Source organism: Homo sapiens, chromosome 1, assembly GCF_000001405.40.
Source record: "Homo sapiens chromosome 1, GRCh38.p14 Primary Assembly".
Lineage (NCBI taxonomy): Eukaryota > Metazoa > Chordata > Mammalia > Primates > Hominidae > Homo > Homo sapiens.
The window spans coordinates 225,007,785-225,027,464 of NC_000001.11; the positions used below are offsets into that span (position 1 = coordinate 225,007,785).

The 19,680-nt window shown below is 37.1% G+C and overlaps 1 protein-coding gene across 22 annotated transcripts in view; it reads left to right on the top strand.

Moving 5' to 3' along the window:
• Positions 1–19,680, top strand: part of DNAH14 (dynein axonemal heavy chain 14) — a 469,633-nt gene that overhangs the window by 78,131 nt on the left and 371,822 nt on the right. For 18 of the 22 annotated variants that reach the window (XM_011544062.3, XM_011544067.3, XM_017000296.2 and 15 more), the window contains exon 11: positions 15,831–16,081. The exons of 2 other annotated variants lie outside the window; for them this stretch is intronic. In XM_011544062.3, coding sequence (XP_011542364.1) covers positions 15,831–16,081 — 251 coding nt within the window. Of the gene's footprint in view, positions 1–15,830; positions 16,821–19,680 lie in introns of those variants that run through there. 2 more of the 22 variants (NM_001145154.3, NM_001349911.2) reach the window with 1 other exon arrangement.

The window sequence follows — 19,680 nt, forward strand, 5'->3', positions numbered from 1 at the left end:
CAACTTATGAAATTTAATATATTTAAATGCTAAGGATGATGATTCTCAAACTTTAGTGGCCAAGAGAATCACCTAGAAGGCCTGATAAAACAAGAGATTTCTGTTTCAGTAGGCACAGCCTGAGGATGTACATTTCTTTTTTCTTTTTTTTTTTTTATACTTTAAGTTCTGGGATACATGTGCAGAATGTACAGGTTTGTTACATGGGTATACATGTGCTATGGTGGTTTGCTGCACCCATCAACCCATCATTTACATTCGGTATTTCTCCTAATGCTATCCCTCCCCTTACCCCCAACCCCGCGACATGCCCCAGTGTATGATGTTCCCCTCCCTGTGCCCATATGTTCTCATTGTTCATCTCCAACTTATGAGTGAGAACATGCAGTGTTTGTTTTTCTGTTCCTGTGTTAGTTTGCTGAGAATGATGGTTTCCAGCTTCATCGGCATCCCTGCAAAGGACATGAACTCATTCTTTTTTATGGTTGCGTAGTATTCCATGGTGTATATGTGCCACATTTTCTTTATCCAGTCTAACATTAATGGGCATTTGGATTGGTTCCAAGTATTTGCTATTGTGAATAGTGCTGCAATAAACATACGTGTGCATGAGTCTTTATAGTAGAATGATTTATAATCCTTTGGGTATATACACAGTAATGGGATTGTTGAGTCAAATGGTATTTCTAGTTCTAGATCCCTACTATCTTCCACAATGTTCAAACTAATTTACACCCCAACAACAGTGTAGAAGCGTTCCTATTTCTCTATAGCATCTGTTTTTTCCTGACTTTTTTTTTTTTTTTTTTTTTTTGTATTTTTAGTAGAGACAGGGTTTCACTGTGTTAGCCAGGATTGTCTTGATCTCCTGACCTCGTGATTCACCCACCTTGGCCTCCCAAAGTGCTGGGATTACAGGCATGAGCCACCGCGCCTGGCCGTTTCCTGACTTTTTAATGATCGCCCTTCTAACTGGCATGAGATGGTATCTCATTGTGGTTTTGATTTGCATTTCTTTCATGACCAGTGATGATGAGCTGTTTTTTTTCATATGTTTGTTGGCCACATGAATGTCTTCTTTTGAAAAGTGTCTGTTCATATCCTTTTTTGGCCACATGAATGTCTTCTTTTGAAAAGTGTTTGTTCATATCCTTTGCCCACTTTTTAATGGGGTTGTTTTTTCTCGTAAATTTGTTTAAGTTCTTTGTAGATTCTGGATATTAGCCCTTTGTCAGATGGATAGATTGTAAAAATTTTCTCCCATTCTGTAGGTTGCATGTTCACTCTGATGGTAGTTTCTTTTGCTGTGCAGAAGCTCTTTAGTTTAATTAGATCCCATTTGTCAATTTTGGCTTTTGTTGCCATTGCTTTTGGTGTTTTAGTCATGAAGTCTTTGCCCATGCCTATGTCCTGGTATTACCTAGGTTTTCTTCTAGGGTTTTTATGGTTTTAGGTCTTACATTTAAGCCTTTAATCTATCTTGAGTTAATTTTTGTATAAGGTGTAAGGAAGGGGTCCAGTTTCAGTTTTCTGCATATGGCTAGCCAGTTTTCCCAACACTTTTAGTTAAATAGGGAATCCTTTCCCCATTTCTTGTTTTTGTCAGGTTTTTCAAAGATCAGATGGTTGTAGATGTGTGATGTTACTTCTGAGGCCTCTGTTCTGTTCCATTGGTCTATATATCTGTTTTGGTACCAGTACCATGCTGTTTTGGTTACTGCAGCCTTGTAATATAGTTTGAAGTCAGGTAGCATAATGCCTCCAGCTTTGTTCTTTTTGCTTAGGATTGTCTTGGCTATAAAGGCTCTTTTTTGGTTCCATATTAAATTTAAAGTAGTTTTTTCTAATTACGTGAAGAAAGTCAATGGTAGCTTGATGGGAATAGCATTGAATCTATAAATTACTTTGGGAAGTATGACCATTTTCACATTATTGATTCTTCCTATCCATGAGCATGGAATGTTTTTCCATTTGTTTGTGTCCTCTCTTATTTCCTTGAACAGTTGTTTGTAGTTCTCCTTGAAGAGGTCCTTCACATCTCTTGTAAGTTGTATTTTATTCTCTTTGTAGCAATTTTGAATGGGAGTTTGCTCATGATTAGGTTCTCTGTTTGTCTATTATAGGTGTATAGGAACGCTTGTGATTTTTGCACATTGATTTTGTATCCTGAGACTTTGCTGAAGTTGCTTATCAGGTTAAGGAGTTTTTGGACTGAAATGATGGGGTTTTCTAAATATACGATCATGTCATCTGCAAAGAGAGTTAATTTGACTTCCTCTCTTCCTATTTGAATACGTTTCTTTCTTTCTGTTGCCTGATTGCCCTAGCCAGAACTTCCAATATTATGTTGAATAGGAGTGGTGAAAGAGGGCATCCTTGTCTTGTGCCAGTTTTCAAAGGGAATGCTTCCAGCTTTTGCCTGTTCAGTATAATATTGACTGTGGGTTTGTCATAAATAGCTCTTATAATTTTGAGATCTGTTCCATCAATACCTAGTTTATTGAGAGTTTTTAGCATGAAGGGGTGTTTAATTTTATCAAAGGCCTTTTCTGCATCTATTGAGATAATCATGTGGATTTCATCATTGGTTCTGTTTATGTGATGGACTACGTGTATTGATTTGTGTATGTTGAACCAGCCTTGCATCCTAGGGATGAACCTGACTTAATCTTGGTGGATAAGCTTTTTAATGTGCTGCTGGATTCGGTTTGCCAATATTTTATTGAGGATTTTTGCATCGATGTTCATCAGGGATATTGGCCTGAAATTTTCTTTTTTTGTTGTGTCTCTACCAGGTTTTGGTATCAGGATGATGCTGGCCTCAGAAAATGAGTTAGGGAGGAGTCTCTCCTTTTCTATTGTTTGGAATAGTTTCAGACAGAATGGTACCAGCTCCTCTTTGTACCTCTGGTAGAATTCAGCTGTGATTCCATCTGGTCCTGGACTTTTTTTGGTTGGTAGGCTATTAATTACTGCCTCAATTTCAGAACTTGTTATTGGTCCATTCAGGGTTTCATCTTCTTCCTGGTTTAGTCTTGGGAAGCTGTATGTGTCCAGGAATTTATCCATTTCCTCTAGATTTTCTATTTTATTTGTATAGAGGTATTTATAGTATTCTCTGATGGTAGTTTGTATTTCTTTGGGATCAGTAGTTGTCTCCCCTTCATCATTTTTTATTGTGTCTACTAGATTCTTCTCTCTTTTCTTCTTTATCAGTCTGGCTAGTGGTCTATCCATTTTGTTAATCTCTTGAAAAAAAAACAGCTCCTGGATTCATTGATTTTTTGAACTTTTTTTGTGTGTCTCTATTTCCTTCAGTTTTGCTCTGATCTTAGTTATTTCTTGTCTTCTGCTAACTTTTGAACTTGTTTGCTCTTGCTTCTCTAGTTCTTTTAATTGTGATGTTAGGGTGTCGATTTTAGATCTTTCCCACTTTCTCCTGTGGGCATTTATTGCTATAAACTTCCCTCTAAACACTGCTTTAGCTGTGTCCCAGTGATTCTGGTATGTTATGTCTTTGTTCTCATTGGTTTCAAAGAACTTAATCATTTCTGCTTTAATTTTGTCATTTACCCAGTAGTCATTCAGAAGCAAGTACTATATGGTGCTGAGAAGAATGTGTATTCTGTTGATTTGGGGTGGAGTGTTGTGTAGATGTCTATTAGGTTTGCTTGGTCCAGAGCTGAGTTCAAGTCCTAAATATCCTTGTTAATTTTCTGTCTCATTGATCTGTTGACAGTGAGGTGTTAAAGTCTCCCACTATTATTGTGTGTGAGTCTAAGCCTCTTTGTAGGTCTCTAAGAACTTGCTTTATGAATCTGGGTGCTCCTGTGTTGGGTGCATATATATTTAGGATAATTAGCTCTTCTTGTTGGGTTGATCCCTTTACCATTATGTAATGCCCTTCTTTGTCTTTTTTTAATCTTTATTGGTTTAAAGACTGTTTTATCAGATGCGAGGAATGCAACCTCTGCTTTTTTTTTTTTTTTTTTTTTTTTTTTTGCTTTCCATTTGCTTGGTACATCTTCCTCCATCCCCTTATTTTGAGCCTATGTGTGTCTTTGCACGTGAGATGTGTCTCCTGAATACAGCACACCGATGGATCTTGACTCTTTATCTGATTTGCCAGTCTGTGTCTTTTAATTGGGGCATTTAGCCTGTTTACATTTAAGGTTAATATTATTATGTGTGAATTTCATCTTGTCATTATGATGCTAGCTGGTTATTTTGCCCATTAGTTGATGCAGTTTCTTCATAGTATCAATGGTCTTTACAATTTGGCATGTTTTTGCAGTGGCTGGTACCGGTTTTTCCTTTCCATATTTAGTGCTTCTTTCAGGAGCTCTTATAAGGCAGGCCTGGTGGTGACAAAATCCCTCAGCATTTGCTTGTCTTTAAAGGATATTATTTCTCCTTCACTTGTGAAGCTTAATTTGGCTGGAAATGAAATTCTGGGTTGAAAATTCTTTTCTTTAAGAATGTTGAATATTGGCCCCCACTCTATTCTAGCATGTAGAGTTTCTGCAAGAGATCCACTGTTAGTCTGATGGGCTTCCCTTTGCAGGTAACTCAACCTTTCTCTCTGGCTGACCTTTACATTTTTTTTTTCATTTTAACCTTGGTGAATCTGATGATTATATGTCTTGGGGTTGCTCTTCTCGAGGAGTATCTCTGTGGTGTTCTCTGTATTTCCTGAATTTGAATATTGGCCTGTCTTGCTAGATTGGGGAAGTTCTCTCTTGCTAGATTGGATAATATCCTGAAGTGTGTTTTCCCACTGGGTTCCGTTCTCCCTGTCACTTTCAGGTACACCAATCAAACGTAGGTTTGGTCTTTTCACATAGTCTCATATTTCTTTGAGACTTTGTTCATTCCTTTTCATTCTTTTTTCTCTAGGCTTGTCTTCACACTTTATTTCATTAAGTTGATCTTCAATCTCTGATATCCTTTTTTCCACTTGATTGCTTTGGCTGTTGATGCTTGTGTATGCTTCAGAAAGTTCTCGTGCTGTGTTTTTCAGCTCCGTCAGGTCATTCATGTTCTTCTGTAAACTGGTTATTCTAGTTAGAAATTCCTCCAGCCTTTTATCAAGGTTCTTACCTTCCTTGCATTGGGTTAGAACATGCTGCTTTAGCTTGGAGGAGTTTGTTATTACCCACCTTCTGAAGCCTACTTCTGTCAGTTCATCAAACTCATTCTCCATCCAGTTTTGTTCCCTTGCTGGTGAGGAGCTGTGATTCTTTGGAGGAGAAGAGGCCTTCTGGTTTTGGGAATTTTCAGCCTTGGTGCGCTGGATTTTCCTCATCTTCGTGGATTTATCTACCTTTGGTCTTTGCTGTTGGTGACCTTCAGATGGAGTTTTTGCATGGTCATTTTTTTTTTGTTGATGTTGATTCCATTGCTTTCTGTTTGTTAGTTTTGCTTCTACCAGTCAGGCCCCTCATCTGTAGGTCTGCTGGAGTTTGCTGGGAGTCCACTTTAGCCCCTGTTTGCCTGGGTATCACCAATGGAGGCTGCAGAACAGCAAAGATTGCTGCCTGCTCCTTCCTCTGGAAGCTTTGTCTCAGGGGGACCCACCAGATACCAGCCGGAGCTCTCCTGTATGAGGTGTCTGTCGACCTCTACTGGGAGGTGTTTCCCAGTCAGGAGGCACGGGGGTCAGGGACCCACTTGAGGAGGCAGTCAGTCCTTTAGCACTGTGCTGGGAGATCTGTTACTCTCTTCAGACCTGGCAGGCAGGAATGTTTAAGTCTGCTGAAGCTCTCCCACAGCCACCCCTTTCCCCAGGTGCTCTGTGCCAAGGAGATGGGAGTTTTATCTGTAAGCCCCTGACTGGGGCTGCTGCCTTTCTTTCAGAGATGCCCTACCCAGAGAGGAGGAATCTAGAGAAGCAGTCTAGCTACAGTGGCTTTCAGGTGCTGTGGTAGGGTCTGCCCAGTCCAAACTTCCCAGGGGCTTTGTTTACACTGTGAGGGGAAAATTGCCTACTCAAGCCTCAGTAATGGTGGATGCCCCTTTCCCCACCAAGCTTGAGCATCCCAGGTCGACTTCAGACTGCTGTGCTGGTAGCGAGAATTTCAACCCAGTGGATCTTAGCTTGCTGGGCTCCTTGGGGGTGGGATCTGTTGAGCAAGACCACTTGGCTTCCTGGCTACATCCCCCTTTCTAGGGGAGTGAATGGTTCTGTCTCACTGGTGTTCCAGGTGCCACTGGGGTATGAAAAAAACTCCTGCAGCTAGCTCGGATTTTTGCCATACAAGCCATCCAGTTTTGTGTTTGAAACCCAGGGCCCTTGTGGTGTAGGCACCTGAGGGAATTTCCTGGTCTGTGGGTTGCCAAGACCATGGGAAAAGTGTAGCATCTGGGCTGGATAGTCTTGTCCCTCATGGCATAGTCCCTCATGGCTTCCTTTGGCTAGCGGAGGGAGTTCCCTGACCTCTTGCACTTCCTGGGTGAGGCGACGCCCCACCCTACTTTGGCTTGCCCTCTTTGGGCTGCACCCACTGTCTAACCAGTCCCAATGAGATGAACCAGGTACCTCAGTTGGAAATGCAGAAATCACCCACTTCCTGTGTTGGTCTTGCTGGGAGCTGCAGACTGGAGCTGTTTCTATTTGGCCATCTTTCCTCACTAGTTTTTTTTTTTTAATGTAGGCACTTATTGCTATAAATTTGCCTCTTAGTATTGCTTTTGCCGTGTCCTATAGGTTTTGATATATTATGTTTCAATTTTCATTTGTTCAAAGAATTTCAAAATTTCATTCTTAGTTTCTTCACCCATTTGTTGTTCAGGAACATGTTTAATTTTCATGTATTTGTATAGCTTCAGCTGTTTCTCTTGTTATTGATGTCTAGCTCTATTCCCCTGTGCTCAGATAAGATACTTGATATGATTTTAATTTCTGAAATGTGTTGAGACTTGTGTTCTAAAATATGGTCAATCATGGAGAATGTTCCATGTGCTGATGAAAATAATGTGTATTCTGCAGCTGTTGGGCAAAATGTTTTGTAAATGTTTATGAGGTCCATTTAGTTTATTGTTTAGTTCAAATCTGTTGTTTCTTTGTTGGGCTTCTGTCTAGATTATCTATTTGATGCTGAGAGTGGAATGTTGAAGTCTCAAAGTATTATTATATTAGGGTCTATCTCTTCCTTTAGATCTGACAATATTTGCTTTATATATCTGGATAGTCTAGTGATGTGTGCATATATATTTACAATTGTTATATTATCTTGCTGAACTGATTCCTTTATTATTATATAATGTCCTCCATGTCTATTATTATAGGTTTTCACTTTAAATCTGTTTTGTTGATATAAGCATAGACACTTCTGCTTGATTTCGGTTTTTGTTTACGTGGAGTATCTTTTTTATCTCTTCACTTTCAGTCTGTGCATGTCTTTACAGGTGTGGTAGGTTTCTTGTAGGCAGCATATAGTTGAGTCTTGTATTTTAATCACTCAGCCAGTCCATGTCTTTTAAATGAGAAATGTAATTCATTTACTTTCAAGGTTATTCTTGATAGATGAGGACTTACTCCTGTAATTTTAGATTGTTTTCTGGTTGTTCTTTAATATTCTTTGTTTCTTCCTCTCTTATTGTTATTTTTGCAGTTAGGTGGTTTTCCGTAGTGATAAGGTTTGATTGATTTGCCTCTCTCCTTTGTATATCAGCTCTACTAGTGAGTTTTATAGTTTTGCATGTTTGCACGATGGTGGTTATCATCTTTTCACTTCCAGCTTTAAGACTCTCCTGAGTATTTCTTGTAAGTCCATTCTAGAGGTGACGAACTTATTCTGTTTGGGAAATGTGTGAGAGAAAAAAGATACACACACAATACCTTTAAGGGTAAACAACGTTTACCCCATGTAAATGGCAATGCAGATGTAATAAGCAAATGTTATAGTAAGCAAATGATATACTAATAATCAAATGATATAATAAGCAGATTGATATAATAAGCAAATTGCAATGGGAAGAGGAGAAGGAAAAGATATTTACACTCACCAGACTATGGAGGATTCACCACCAGAGTGGGAAGCAACAGCCTGGGCTCCAGAGGTGGATACCACACTCACCAGACTATGGAGGGTTTAACACCAGAGTGGGAAGCAACAGCCTGGGTTCCAGAGTCGGCCACTCATCTGTGCACAGACAAGGAGAGGTCTCATGTAGCTTTGGCGCAGTCTGGGACTGTAGCTCTTATTGTAATGAATTTTTTGGCATGATGTCCACTCACGAGGGCCCTTCAGGACAGGGCTTAAGGAACACAAAAAGGTCAACTTTTTTTGGTGATTGTCTATTGTTTTTCAATAACTAATGTATAGGCTCTGAAACAGTGCTGGATGAATACCTCAAGGGGCTCACACAACCTGTTCTGGGACTTGGTGACCATTGTCCCTTGGTGTCCATGTTCAATTGAGTTCAGATTTAACTTTTTAAGTTTAATTTAACTTTTCCTCCTCAGAATTCCCTCAGTTTTTGCTTATCTGTAAAAGATTCTATTTATTCTTCATTTCAGAAGAATTTCTCTGCTGGGAATAATATTCTTGGCTGATAGTTTATTTCTTTCAATATTTTGTATATATCATTCCAATGTCTCCTGGCCTGTAAAGTTTCTGCTGAGAAATCTGCTTATCTAATGGAAATTCCCTTATATGTGACTTGACATTCTTGATACTTTTAAAATTCTTTCTTTCTCTTTGACTTTGTCAATTTGACTATAATGTGCCCCAGAGAGGACATGTTTGAGTTTAATCTCTTTGGGTTTGTTTAGCTTATTAGACCTGGATGTTCATTTCTCTTCCAAGACATGGGAAATTTTTAGCTATTATTTCATTAAACATATTTTTCTTGTTTTTCTCTTCTCTTTCTGCAACAACCATAATCTGAATATTTGTCACTTAATGGTGTTCCATAAATCCTGTGAGTTTTCTTCACTGTTTTTTTTCTTTTTCTTTTCTTTTTTTTTGTCTGCCTGTGTTATTTCAAATGCCCGGTCTTCAGGTTCAGAAATTTTCTTCTGCTTGGTCTAGTCTGTTGCTGAAGGTCTCAGTTGCATTTTTAAATTTCCTTCATTAAATTTTTCAGTTCTAGGATTTCTATTTGGTTCTTTTCTATGATATATATCTTTATTTAATTTTTCATTCAGTTTATGAATTGTTTTCCTGGTCTCATTGAATTGTCTATCTGTATTCTCATATATTTCACTGAATTTCCCTAAGATTAATATTTTGAATTATTTTTCTGGCATCTTATACATTTCTTTATGACTGGGGCCTGTTACTACAGTATTATTGTTTTCATTTGGAGGTGACATAGTTTCTTGTTTTTCAAGATGACATTCAGTATGTTGGAGGATGATCCCTTTATGTAGGAACACACAGATATTTATTAGTATATACTTCCTTGTTTGATTTCCAAAACTTAAGTTATCTGCTTATAAGTGAGACACCAAACTTTATAGGCTTCAGCACATATAAGTAGTCTTCTTTTTGTCTAATGTTTAAATACAGTATGAGCATGTAGTAAAAGTTGTAATGAAAGTTGTTGATAAAGTTAAATTCCAATATATATTAATCAGGCTAATAAAAATACTGTAGACTTTGCTGGTCTGCTGTTGCCAGCAGCCACTGCCATTGTGCTTTCTCATGAGGCTCCTGCTACCCCACTGGAGCACTTTTGCTGGCAGCCCCCTGCCAGAATGTGTTCACTCATGGCACCCCTGCTGCCCCTACCAGAGTACTTCCCACCTGGGGTGCTCATGCTTCCCCCATTGGAACACTTTTGCTGACAGCCTCCCACCAGAGCATGGTCACTAAGGACTCCACCACTGCCACATTGGAGTGTTTCCCACCGATGGTCACCCTGCAACCCCTAGCGCAGTGCTATTGCCTGCAGTCTGGGAGCACCTTGGCCTCTCCAGCCCAGCTGGGGCTTGCCCATGAGTGATCAGAGCACAAAGCTATGGGCCCAGTCCTAGCCACCCAAGGTTAAAGCATGCTGCCCAGGAGTGTTGAAGTGAGAGTTGGCCCACTGAAAGCATTCAGAAACAAAGCCTTTCAACTTTACCCAACTTGCACCACAGCCAAATACTTGAGGGCAATAAAGAACATAAAAACAAAGCCCAGTCCAAAGAACAACAACTTCAAAGGATAAAGGAACATCAGCTTTCACAGATCAGAAACAGACAGTGTAAGAACTCTGCAACTCTAAAAGCCAGAGTGTCTTCTTACCTCCAAATAATCACACTAGCTCTCCAGGAAAGGTTCTTAACCACGTTGAAATTGCTGTAATGTCACACATTTAATTCAGAATCTGAATGGCAAGGAAGCTCATCGAGGTACAAGAGAAGGTCAAAACCAAATCCAAGGAAAACAGTAAAACAATCCAAGAGTTGAAGGACAACCTAACCATTTTAAGAAAGAACCAAACTGAATTTCGGGATATGCAAAATTAACTACAAGAATTTCAAAATATAATTGGAGGCATTAGACCAAGCTGAGGAAGGAATCTCAGAGCTGGAAGATTGCTCACTTGAAGCAATGAAAAATAAAGAAAAAAGAAGTTTAAAAATGAACACAACAGTTGAGAAATACGGGATTCTGTAAAGAGATCAAACAGCAAAGGTTCTTAACCAGATTGAGTTTCCTTAAAGAGGAGAGCAAGCCACTTTGGAAACATATTTGAGGATATAGTCCATGACAATTTTGAAATCTTGCTAGAGAGGTCAACTTGCAAATTCAAGAAATTCAGAGAACTCCTGTGTGAAGGAGTTGATCATCCCCAAGTTAATCATCCCCAAGACACATAGTCATCAAATTCTCCAAGGTCAACATGAAAGAAAAAATCTTAAAGGGAGTTAGAGAGAAGGGCAGATCACTGGCAAAGGGAACCCCTTCTGGCTAACAGCAGTCCTTTTAGCAGAAACCTTACAAGTCTACAGAGATTAGAGGCCTATTTTTAACATCCTTAAAGGAAAGAAATTCCAACCAAAAATGTCATATCCCACCAAACTAAGCTTCATAAGCAAAGGAGAAATGAAATCCTTGTCAGAGAAGCAAATGGTAAGGAAATTTGTTGCCACTAGACCTACCTTACAAGAGGTCCTAAAGGGAGTGCTAAACATGGAAATGAAAGAACATTCCCTGCCACCACAAAAACACGCTTGAGTACATAAACACACTTAAGTACATAGGCCATTGACATTTTAACACAACTGTAAAATTAGGTCTACATAACAACAAGCTAATAACACAGTGACAAGATCAAATCCTCACATGTTAATATTGACCTTGAATGTAAATGGGCTAAATGCCCCACTTTAAAGGCCAACTGTGACAAACTGGATAAAGAAGCAAGACCCAACTGTCTGCTGTCTCTAAGAGACCCATCTCACAAGTAACAACACCCATAGACTCAAAGTAAAGGGTTAGAGAAAGACCTGTCTGGCAAATGGAAAACAAAAAAAAAAGAGCAGAGGTTGCTATTCTTATATCAGCTAAAACAGACCTTAAACAAACAATGATCAAAAAGGACAAAGAAGGCCATTACATAACAATATAGAGTTCAGTACTAAAAGACTTAAATATTCTAAATATATGCACACCCAATATTGGAGCATCTAGATTCATTAAACAAGTACTGAGAGTCCTACAAAGAGTTTTAGACAACCACGCAATAATAGTGGTGGACTTCAACACCCCAATGACAGCATTAGACACATTGTTGAGGCAGAAAACTACAAAACTATTCAGGACTTAAACTTGATACTTGACCAGTTGGATCTAACAGACACCTACAGAACACTATGCCTAACAACAGAGTATACATTCTTCTCGTCAGCACATGGCACATACTCTAAGATTGACCACATATTTGTCCATAAAGTAAGTCTCAACTAAATCACAAAAATCAAAACCATAACAACCACACTGTTGGACCACAGCTCAAGCACAACCAGCTTCTGAGTGACTTTTGGTTAAAGAATAAAATTAAGGCAGAAATTTAAAAAAATTATTTGAAACTAATAACAGACACAACATACCAGAATCTTCAGGACACAACTAAAGAAGGATGAAGAGGAAAGTTTATAGTGCTGTACACCTACCTCAAGAAGTTAGAAAGATCTCAAATTAAGACTCTAATTATTGCACCTAGAGGAACCAGAAAAACAAGAGAAAACAAATCCCAAAGCCAGCAGAAAAAAAGAAATTACAAAAATTAGAGCAGAACTGAACAAAACTGAGGCATGAAAATCCATACAAAAGATCAGCAAAACCAAAAGTTGATTCTTCAGAAGATTAAACAAGTTTGATAGCCTGGTGCCTAGATTTATAAGGAAAAAAATAAAGAAGACCCAAATACACCCAATCAGAAATGACAAAGGTGGCATCATAACTGACCCCAGAGAAATACAAAAAAAAATCTCAGCCAGGCAAGGTGGCTCATGCTTGTAATCCCAACACTTTGGGAGGCCAAGGAAGGCAGATCACCTGAGGTCAGGAGTTTGAGACCAGCCTGGCCAACATGGTGAAACCTCATCTCTATTAGAAATACAAAAATTAGCCAGGTGTGGTGGCATGTGTCTGTAGTTTCAGCTACTCAGGAGGCTGAGGCAGGAGAATCACTTGAATCTGGGAGGCGGAGGTTGCAGTGAGCCAAGATTGCACCACTGGAATCCAGCCTGGGTGACAGAGCAAGGCTCTGTCTCAAAAAAAAAAAAAAAAAAAACAACTCAAAGGCTACTATAAACACCTCTTTGCATACAAACTAGAAAACCTACAAGAAATTAAATTCCTGGAAACACATAGCCTCCCAAGATTAAACCAGGAAGAAATTGAAATCCTGAACAGACCAATAAAGAGTAATAACAGACCAATTGAATCAGTAATAAAACACCTAAAAACCAATAACAGCCTTGGACCATATGGATTTGATTCTACCAAATACGCAAAGAGCTAGTACCAATCCTACTGAAATTATTTCCAAAAATCAAGGAGGAAGGACTCCTCCGTAACTTATTTTATGAGGCCAGCATCATTCTGATACCAAAACCTGGCAGAGACACAACAAGAAAAGAAAACTTCAGGCCAATATACCTAATGAACACAGACACACAAATTATCAACGTAGTACAGCAAACTGAATCCAGGGAGCAGCACATCAAAAAGTTAATTTACCATGGAGAAGTAGGAAGGTTGGTTTAACATATGCAAATCAATAAGTGTGATTTATTATGTAATCAGAATTAAAAACAAATACCACATGATCATCTCAACAGATGCAGGAAATGCTTTTGATAAAATTCAACATCCCTGCATGTTAAAAACTCTCAACAAGCTGGGCATTGAAGCCACATACCTCAAAATAATCAGAGCCATATATGGCAAGCACACAGTGAACATCATACTGAACAGGCAAAAACTGGAACCATTCCCACTGATAACTGGAACAAGAGAAGGATGCCAACTCTTACCACTCCTGTTAAACACAGTACTGGAAATTCTAGCCAGATCAATTATGCAAGAGAGAGAAGCATAAGGCATCCAGATAGGAAGAGGTCAAACTATCTGTTTGTAGATGATATGATTCTCTATCTAGGAAACCTTATAGTTTCTGTCCAAAAGCTCCTACATCTGATAAAATAACTTAGGAAAGTTTCAGCATATAAAATCAATGTACAAAAATCAGTAGCATTTCTGTACACCAAAAACATCCAAACTGAGAGCCAAATCAATGCCATTCACAATAGCCACAATAAGAATAAAATATCTAGGAATACAGTTAACCAAGGTGGTGATAGATATGTACAATGAGAATTACAAAGCACTGCTGAAAGAAATTAGAGATGACACAAACAAATGGAAAAACATTCCATGCTGATGAATAGGAAAAATCAATATTGTTAAAATGGCCATACTGCCCAAAGCAGTTTACAGACTTGATGCTATTCCTGTCAAATTACCAACATCATTTTTCACAATTCAAAAAAAAAACTATTCTAAAATTTGTGTTGAACCAAAGAACCTGAATTGCCAAAGCAATCCAAAGCAAAAAGAGCAAAGCTGGAGGCATCACATTACCCGACTTCAAACTATACAAGACTACAGTAACCAAACAGCATGGTAAGGGTACAAAAACAGATACATAGACCAATGGAACAAAGTAGAGAACTCAGAAATAAAGCCACACAGTCTACAATGACAACAATGGAGAAAGAACTCCCTTTTCAATAAATGCTTCTGGGATAACTGGCTAGCCATATTCAGAAGATTGAAACTGGATCCCTTCCTGTCACTATATACAAAAATTAACTCAAGATGGATTAAAGACTTAAATGTAAGACCTAAAACAGTACAAACCCTAGAAGAAAACCTAGGAAATACCATTCTGGACATCAACCTTGACAAAGAATTTATGACCTAGTCCCCAAATGCAATTGCAGCAAAAACAAAATTGATAAGTGGGACCTAATGAAACTAAAGGGCTTCTGCATGGCAAGCAAAATTATCAACAGAGTAAACAGACAACTTACAGAATGAGAGAAAATATTCACAATCTGTGCATCTGACAAAGTTCTAACATCCAGAGTCTATAAGGCTCTTTAACACCCCAACAAACAAAAAACCAAATAACTCCACTAAAAAATGGGCAAAGGATATGAACAAATACTTCTCAAAAGAAGACATACATGTAGCCAACAAATATATTAAAAATATGACCACCAATCATTAGAGAAATCCAAATCAAAACCAAAATGAGTTAACATCTTACACCAATCAGAATGGCTGTTATTAAAAAGTCAAAAAACAATAGATGCTGGTGAGGATGTGGCAAAAAGGAAACACCCTGCTGGTAGCAATGTAAATTAGTTCAGCCACTTTGGAAAGCAGTGTGGAGACTTCTCAAAGAACTTAAAAGAGAACTACCATTCAACTCAGCAATCCCTCTACTGGATATATACCCAAAGGAAAATAAATTGTTCTACCAAAAAGACACATTCATGCTTATGTTCATTGCAGCACTATTCACAATAGCAAAGACATGGAATCAACCTAGATGCCCATCATTGGTGGACTGGATAAAGAAAATGTGGTACATATACACTATGGAATACCACCCAGCCATGAAAAGAACGATATCATGTCCTTTGCAGCAGCATGATGCAGCTGGAGGTCATTATTTTAAGCAAACTGACACAGGAACAGAAACCAAATACCACATATCTTCACATATAAGTGGGAGATAAACATAGTTACACATGGGCAGGAAGATGGGAACAACAGACACTGGAGACTGCTTGAGGGAGGAGGGTGAGGGGAAGGTATGGGTTAAAAGGCAACCTATTGTTGACTATGCTCACTACCCATGTGATGGGATAATTCATACCCCAAGACTCAGCAATACACAATTTAACCGTGTAACAAACCTGCATATGTACCCTCAGAACCTAAAATAAAAGTAGAAGAAAAAACAAAGAAACAAATAAAAACAAAACGAACAAGTAAAAACACAATGTAATTTTCATATTGTTAAATTTAGATCTACTATTATTTGTTTTTGGTTAGTCTCCTCTGTCTTTTTTTTTTTTCCTCTGTCCTTCCTCTTCTGGCTTCTTTAGTATTACTTAAATAATTTTTAGAATTCTATTTTAATTTATCTGTTGCTTTTTAGGCCTACCCTTTAAATCATTTTTTGCTTGAGGTATTAAAATATCAATTCTTAACATTCACATCTAATTGAAGTTGATAAAAAAAACTAAACTAGAAATCATGCTATATTAACAAAGAAAATCAATACTTGTTTCTCAATTGTTTTTTAAATTGTAGGTTGCAGAAAAGAATGAAATCAAAGAGTATTTTGAGTCAAAACTCTCTGAAGATGACACAACACATTTCAAGCTGCCTAAATATAGACGTTTATTAGAAACATTTTTCAAGTTTGTAATGCTGGTTGACTACATATTTCAGGAACTCATTCGTCAACTTATGAACACTGCAGTCACACTACTTTTGGAATTATTTAATGGTTCTGCTGGAATGCCATTTTCAGTGGAAAAAAAGAATGAAAATCTTATCAGGTAAATTACTTTTTTGAAGTCAAAAAGTAACTTACAATTATAATATTTTAACATTGCCACATATGGAGGAAATATTCAATAATTTAAGCTAGAGTTTGAAAATTCTCCTTGTGGCAGAGTACATGTACTCATTTTTGCTATTAACAGAACTTATTATTTGGTAATACCTTACTTAATATCGGTGCTATAGGATGCGCAGTAAAATTTGAATTTCACATAAATGGTAAATAATTTTAGTATACTTCAAGTATTACCTATGTTAAAATTATTGTTTATCTGAAATTCAGATTTCTCTGATAATTTAGCAAATATATTTTTTATTTGTTATATCTGGCAATTCTGTGCCTAAGTATACTCTGTCTTCCAGGTTCAGAGTTAGTTTTTAAAGATATGTGAGAATTCTGGAAGGAGCTACAAAGTCCAATTGGAATTTGAGTCAATTCCAAGAAATATCTGTTGAATATTTTCCCAATGAAAAAACTATCTGAAAAACATTTTTACCTTCTAAACACTACTGTTAAAAACAAAGCATTTTTCTTATTTTCCACAACTGGATATATCTACTGTAACTGGTGAAACAGGAATATTAATTGAAATGATGGCATACTTTGTAGCTGGTAAACAGGACTATGAATTGAAATGTTGGCATACTTTAATTTCTATTTATCAAAATTTAATAATATTTTAGGCTAATTAAAGTTTTATAACTAGGTAGCTGAAAATATATCAATTCAAAAAATTTTGAAGATTATTCAAGATAATATTTTGTTTTTCTAATTATTACTGAATCTACAGAGCTAACATCACTTACCTAAGGACTTATAACTGGTTTGAGTCAGTGCCAGGATTCTAACCTATGTAAGAACACAACTATTTAGTGATAGTGCATTATAATTTTATTTCCTTTAAAACATTGCGTGTGTGTGTTTAGGAAAGGTCTTTATATTCTTAACATAGTTTTTGAAAGATATTATTATAATTAATTCATCATATTATAGCAAATTTGGAAAACAAATATCACCCTTAATTCTGTCACTGAATTACAACATCTTATCATTTTTATATGATTTTTGTAGTCTTTTCCTAAATGTTTTTCCATTGTTGTAATCCTAGTATACTAATTTATAGCTCGTTTTTTAAACACAATGTCTCCTGTATGCATTTTTTATGTTACAGGAATAATATATATAGGTCAGGCACAGTGGCTCACACCTGTAATCACAACACTTTGGGAGACCAATGAGGATGTATTACTTGAGTCCAGGAGTTTAAGATCAGCCTAGGCAACATGGCGAGACCCTGTCTCCACAAAAAATACAAAAATTAGCTGTGCACGATGGCACTGGCACACACCTACTTGGGAGGCTGATGTGGGAGGATCACTTGAGCCTGGGAGGTTGAGGCTTCAGTGAGCTGTGATCATGCCACTCCACTCCAGCCTGGTCAACAGAGTGAGATCTTATCTCAAATATATATATATATATATGTTTTGTGGAGTCAGACCACATGGGTTTTAATCTCTGATTTGACTCTTGCTAGTTTTACTTAGTTGAGCTATTAACCCAACAGAGGTTGAATAAATTTGGCTGGGCATGGTGGTTCACACCTGTAATCCCAACACTTTGGGAGGCTGAGGTGGGAGGATCACTTGAGTCCAGGAGTTCAAGACCAGTCTGGGCAACAAAGCGAAACCCCATCTCTACAAAAACAACAACAACAACAACATCAAAACTAAGAAAACTAGCCAGGCATGATGCTGCATGCCTGTAGTCCCAGCTCCTCGGGAGGCTGAGGTGGGAGGATCACTTGAGCCCAGGAGGTTGAGACTGCAGTGATCACTAAATATATAAATAAATAAATTCTTTAGACTTCAATTTTCTCATCTATAAAATGAAGATAACAGTAATACCTATGCCATAATGTTGTTTGAGAATAAACACAGTAAATGTCTGATAAAAAGCATCAATCATTGTTGAATCTGTTTCCACTGACCTCTTAACAATATTGATTAGTATAATATTTCCATAATGACTAATGATATTGAACATCTTTGCATGTGCTTTTTGGCCATTTATATATGTTCTTTGAGGAAATATCTATTCAAACTCTTTGTTCATTTTTAAATTGTGTTAGTTAATTAATTAATTAATTTAGATGGGGTCTTGTGTTTCTCAGACTTGTCTTGAACTCCTGGGCTCAAGCGATACTCTCACCTCAGCCTCCCACATAGCTGGGACTACAGGTTCATGCTATCATGCCCAACTAAGTTATTTGTCTTTTGATTGCTGAGTTCTAAGAGTTCTTTATTTATTAGATTCTGTGGGTCTTCTTTTCTTTTTTTAATAGTATCCTTTGGAGTAAAAAAGTTTTTAATTTCTAATTTTTATTTAATTTTTAATTTTATTTTTATTTAATTTAACTTGTATTTGATTGATTGTGCTTTAAGTGTATCTAAGAAATCATTGCCTAATCCAAAGTCTTGAAGATTTACTCTTGTTTTTATCTAAGATCTTATAACTTTAGCTCTTGCATTTAGGCTTTGATGCATTTTGAGTTAATTTTTGTAGATGGTATGAGATAGGGTCCAAATTTCTTCTTTTGTATACGAATATCCAGTTGTCCCAGTACTATTTGTTGAAAAGAATAACACTATTTCTTTCTCTATTGAATTGTCTTGGCACCCTCGTTGACAATCAGCTGACCAAAAATGTGTGGGTTTATTTTCAGACCCTCAATTTCATTTCATTGCTCCATGTCTGTCCTTATGCCAGTACCATACTGTCTTGATTACTATAGCTTTGTAGTAAGTTTTGAAATTAGGAATTGGGAATTTTCTAACATTGCTCTTCTTTTTCAACATTGTTTTGGCTATTGTGGGTCCCTTGCATTTTCATATGAATTTTAGAATCAGCTTGACAATTTCTGCAAATATTCAGCTAGAATTTTGATAGAGGCAGCATTAAAACTGGAGATAAATATGAGGAGTATTTTCATTCTAATAGTATAGTCTTCCAGTCCATGAACATGGTCTGTCTTTCCATTTATGTAGGCATTCTTTAATTTCTTTCAATATTTTGTGGTTTTCAGTGTATGAATCATGCATTTTTTTTGGTAAAATTTTTTGTAAGTATTTTATCATTTTTTATGCTGTTGTGAATGGAATTATTTTTAAATTTTATTTTTCGGTTGTTCATTGCCAGCATATTGAAATACAAATGATTTTTGTTTATTGATCTTATGTCCTGCTACTTTGTTGAACTTTTTTTATTATCCCTGATAGGTTTTTACAACTAATTGTTTAGGATTTTCTTTATGCAAAATCATGTCATCTGCAAATAGGATAATTTTACTTCTTTACCAATCTGATACCTTTTATTTCTTTTTATTGCCTAATTCCTCTGGCTAGTAAGTACTTCAATACAGTGTTGATTAGGAATGGTGAAAGCGAACATCCCTGTCTTGTTCCAGAGCTCAGGAGGAAAACATACAGTCTTTCATCATTAAGTATGATGTGCCTGTGGGTTTTTCACAGATGCTTCCTATCAAGTTGAGGAAGTTCCTGTCTGTATTAGTTTGTTGTCATATTGTCATAAAAAACT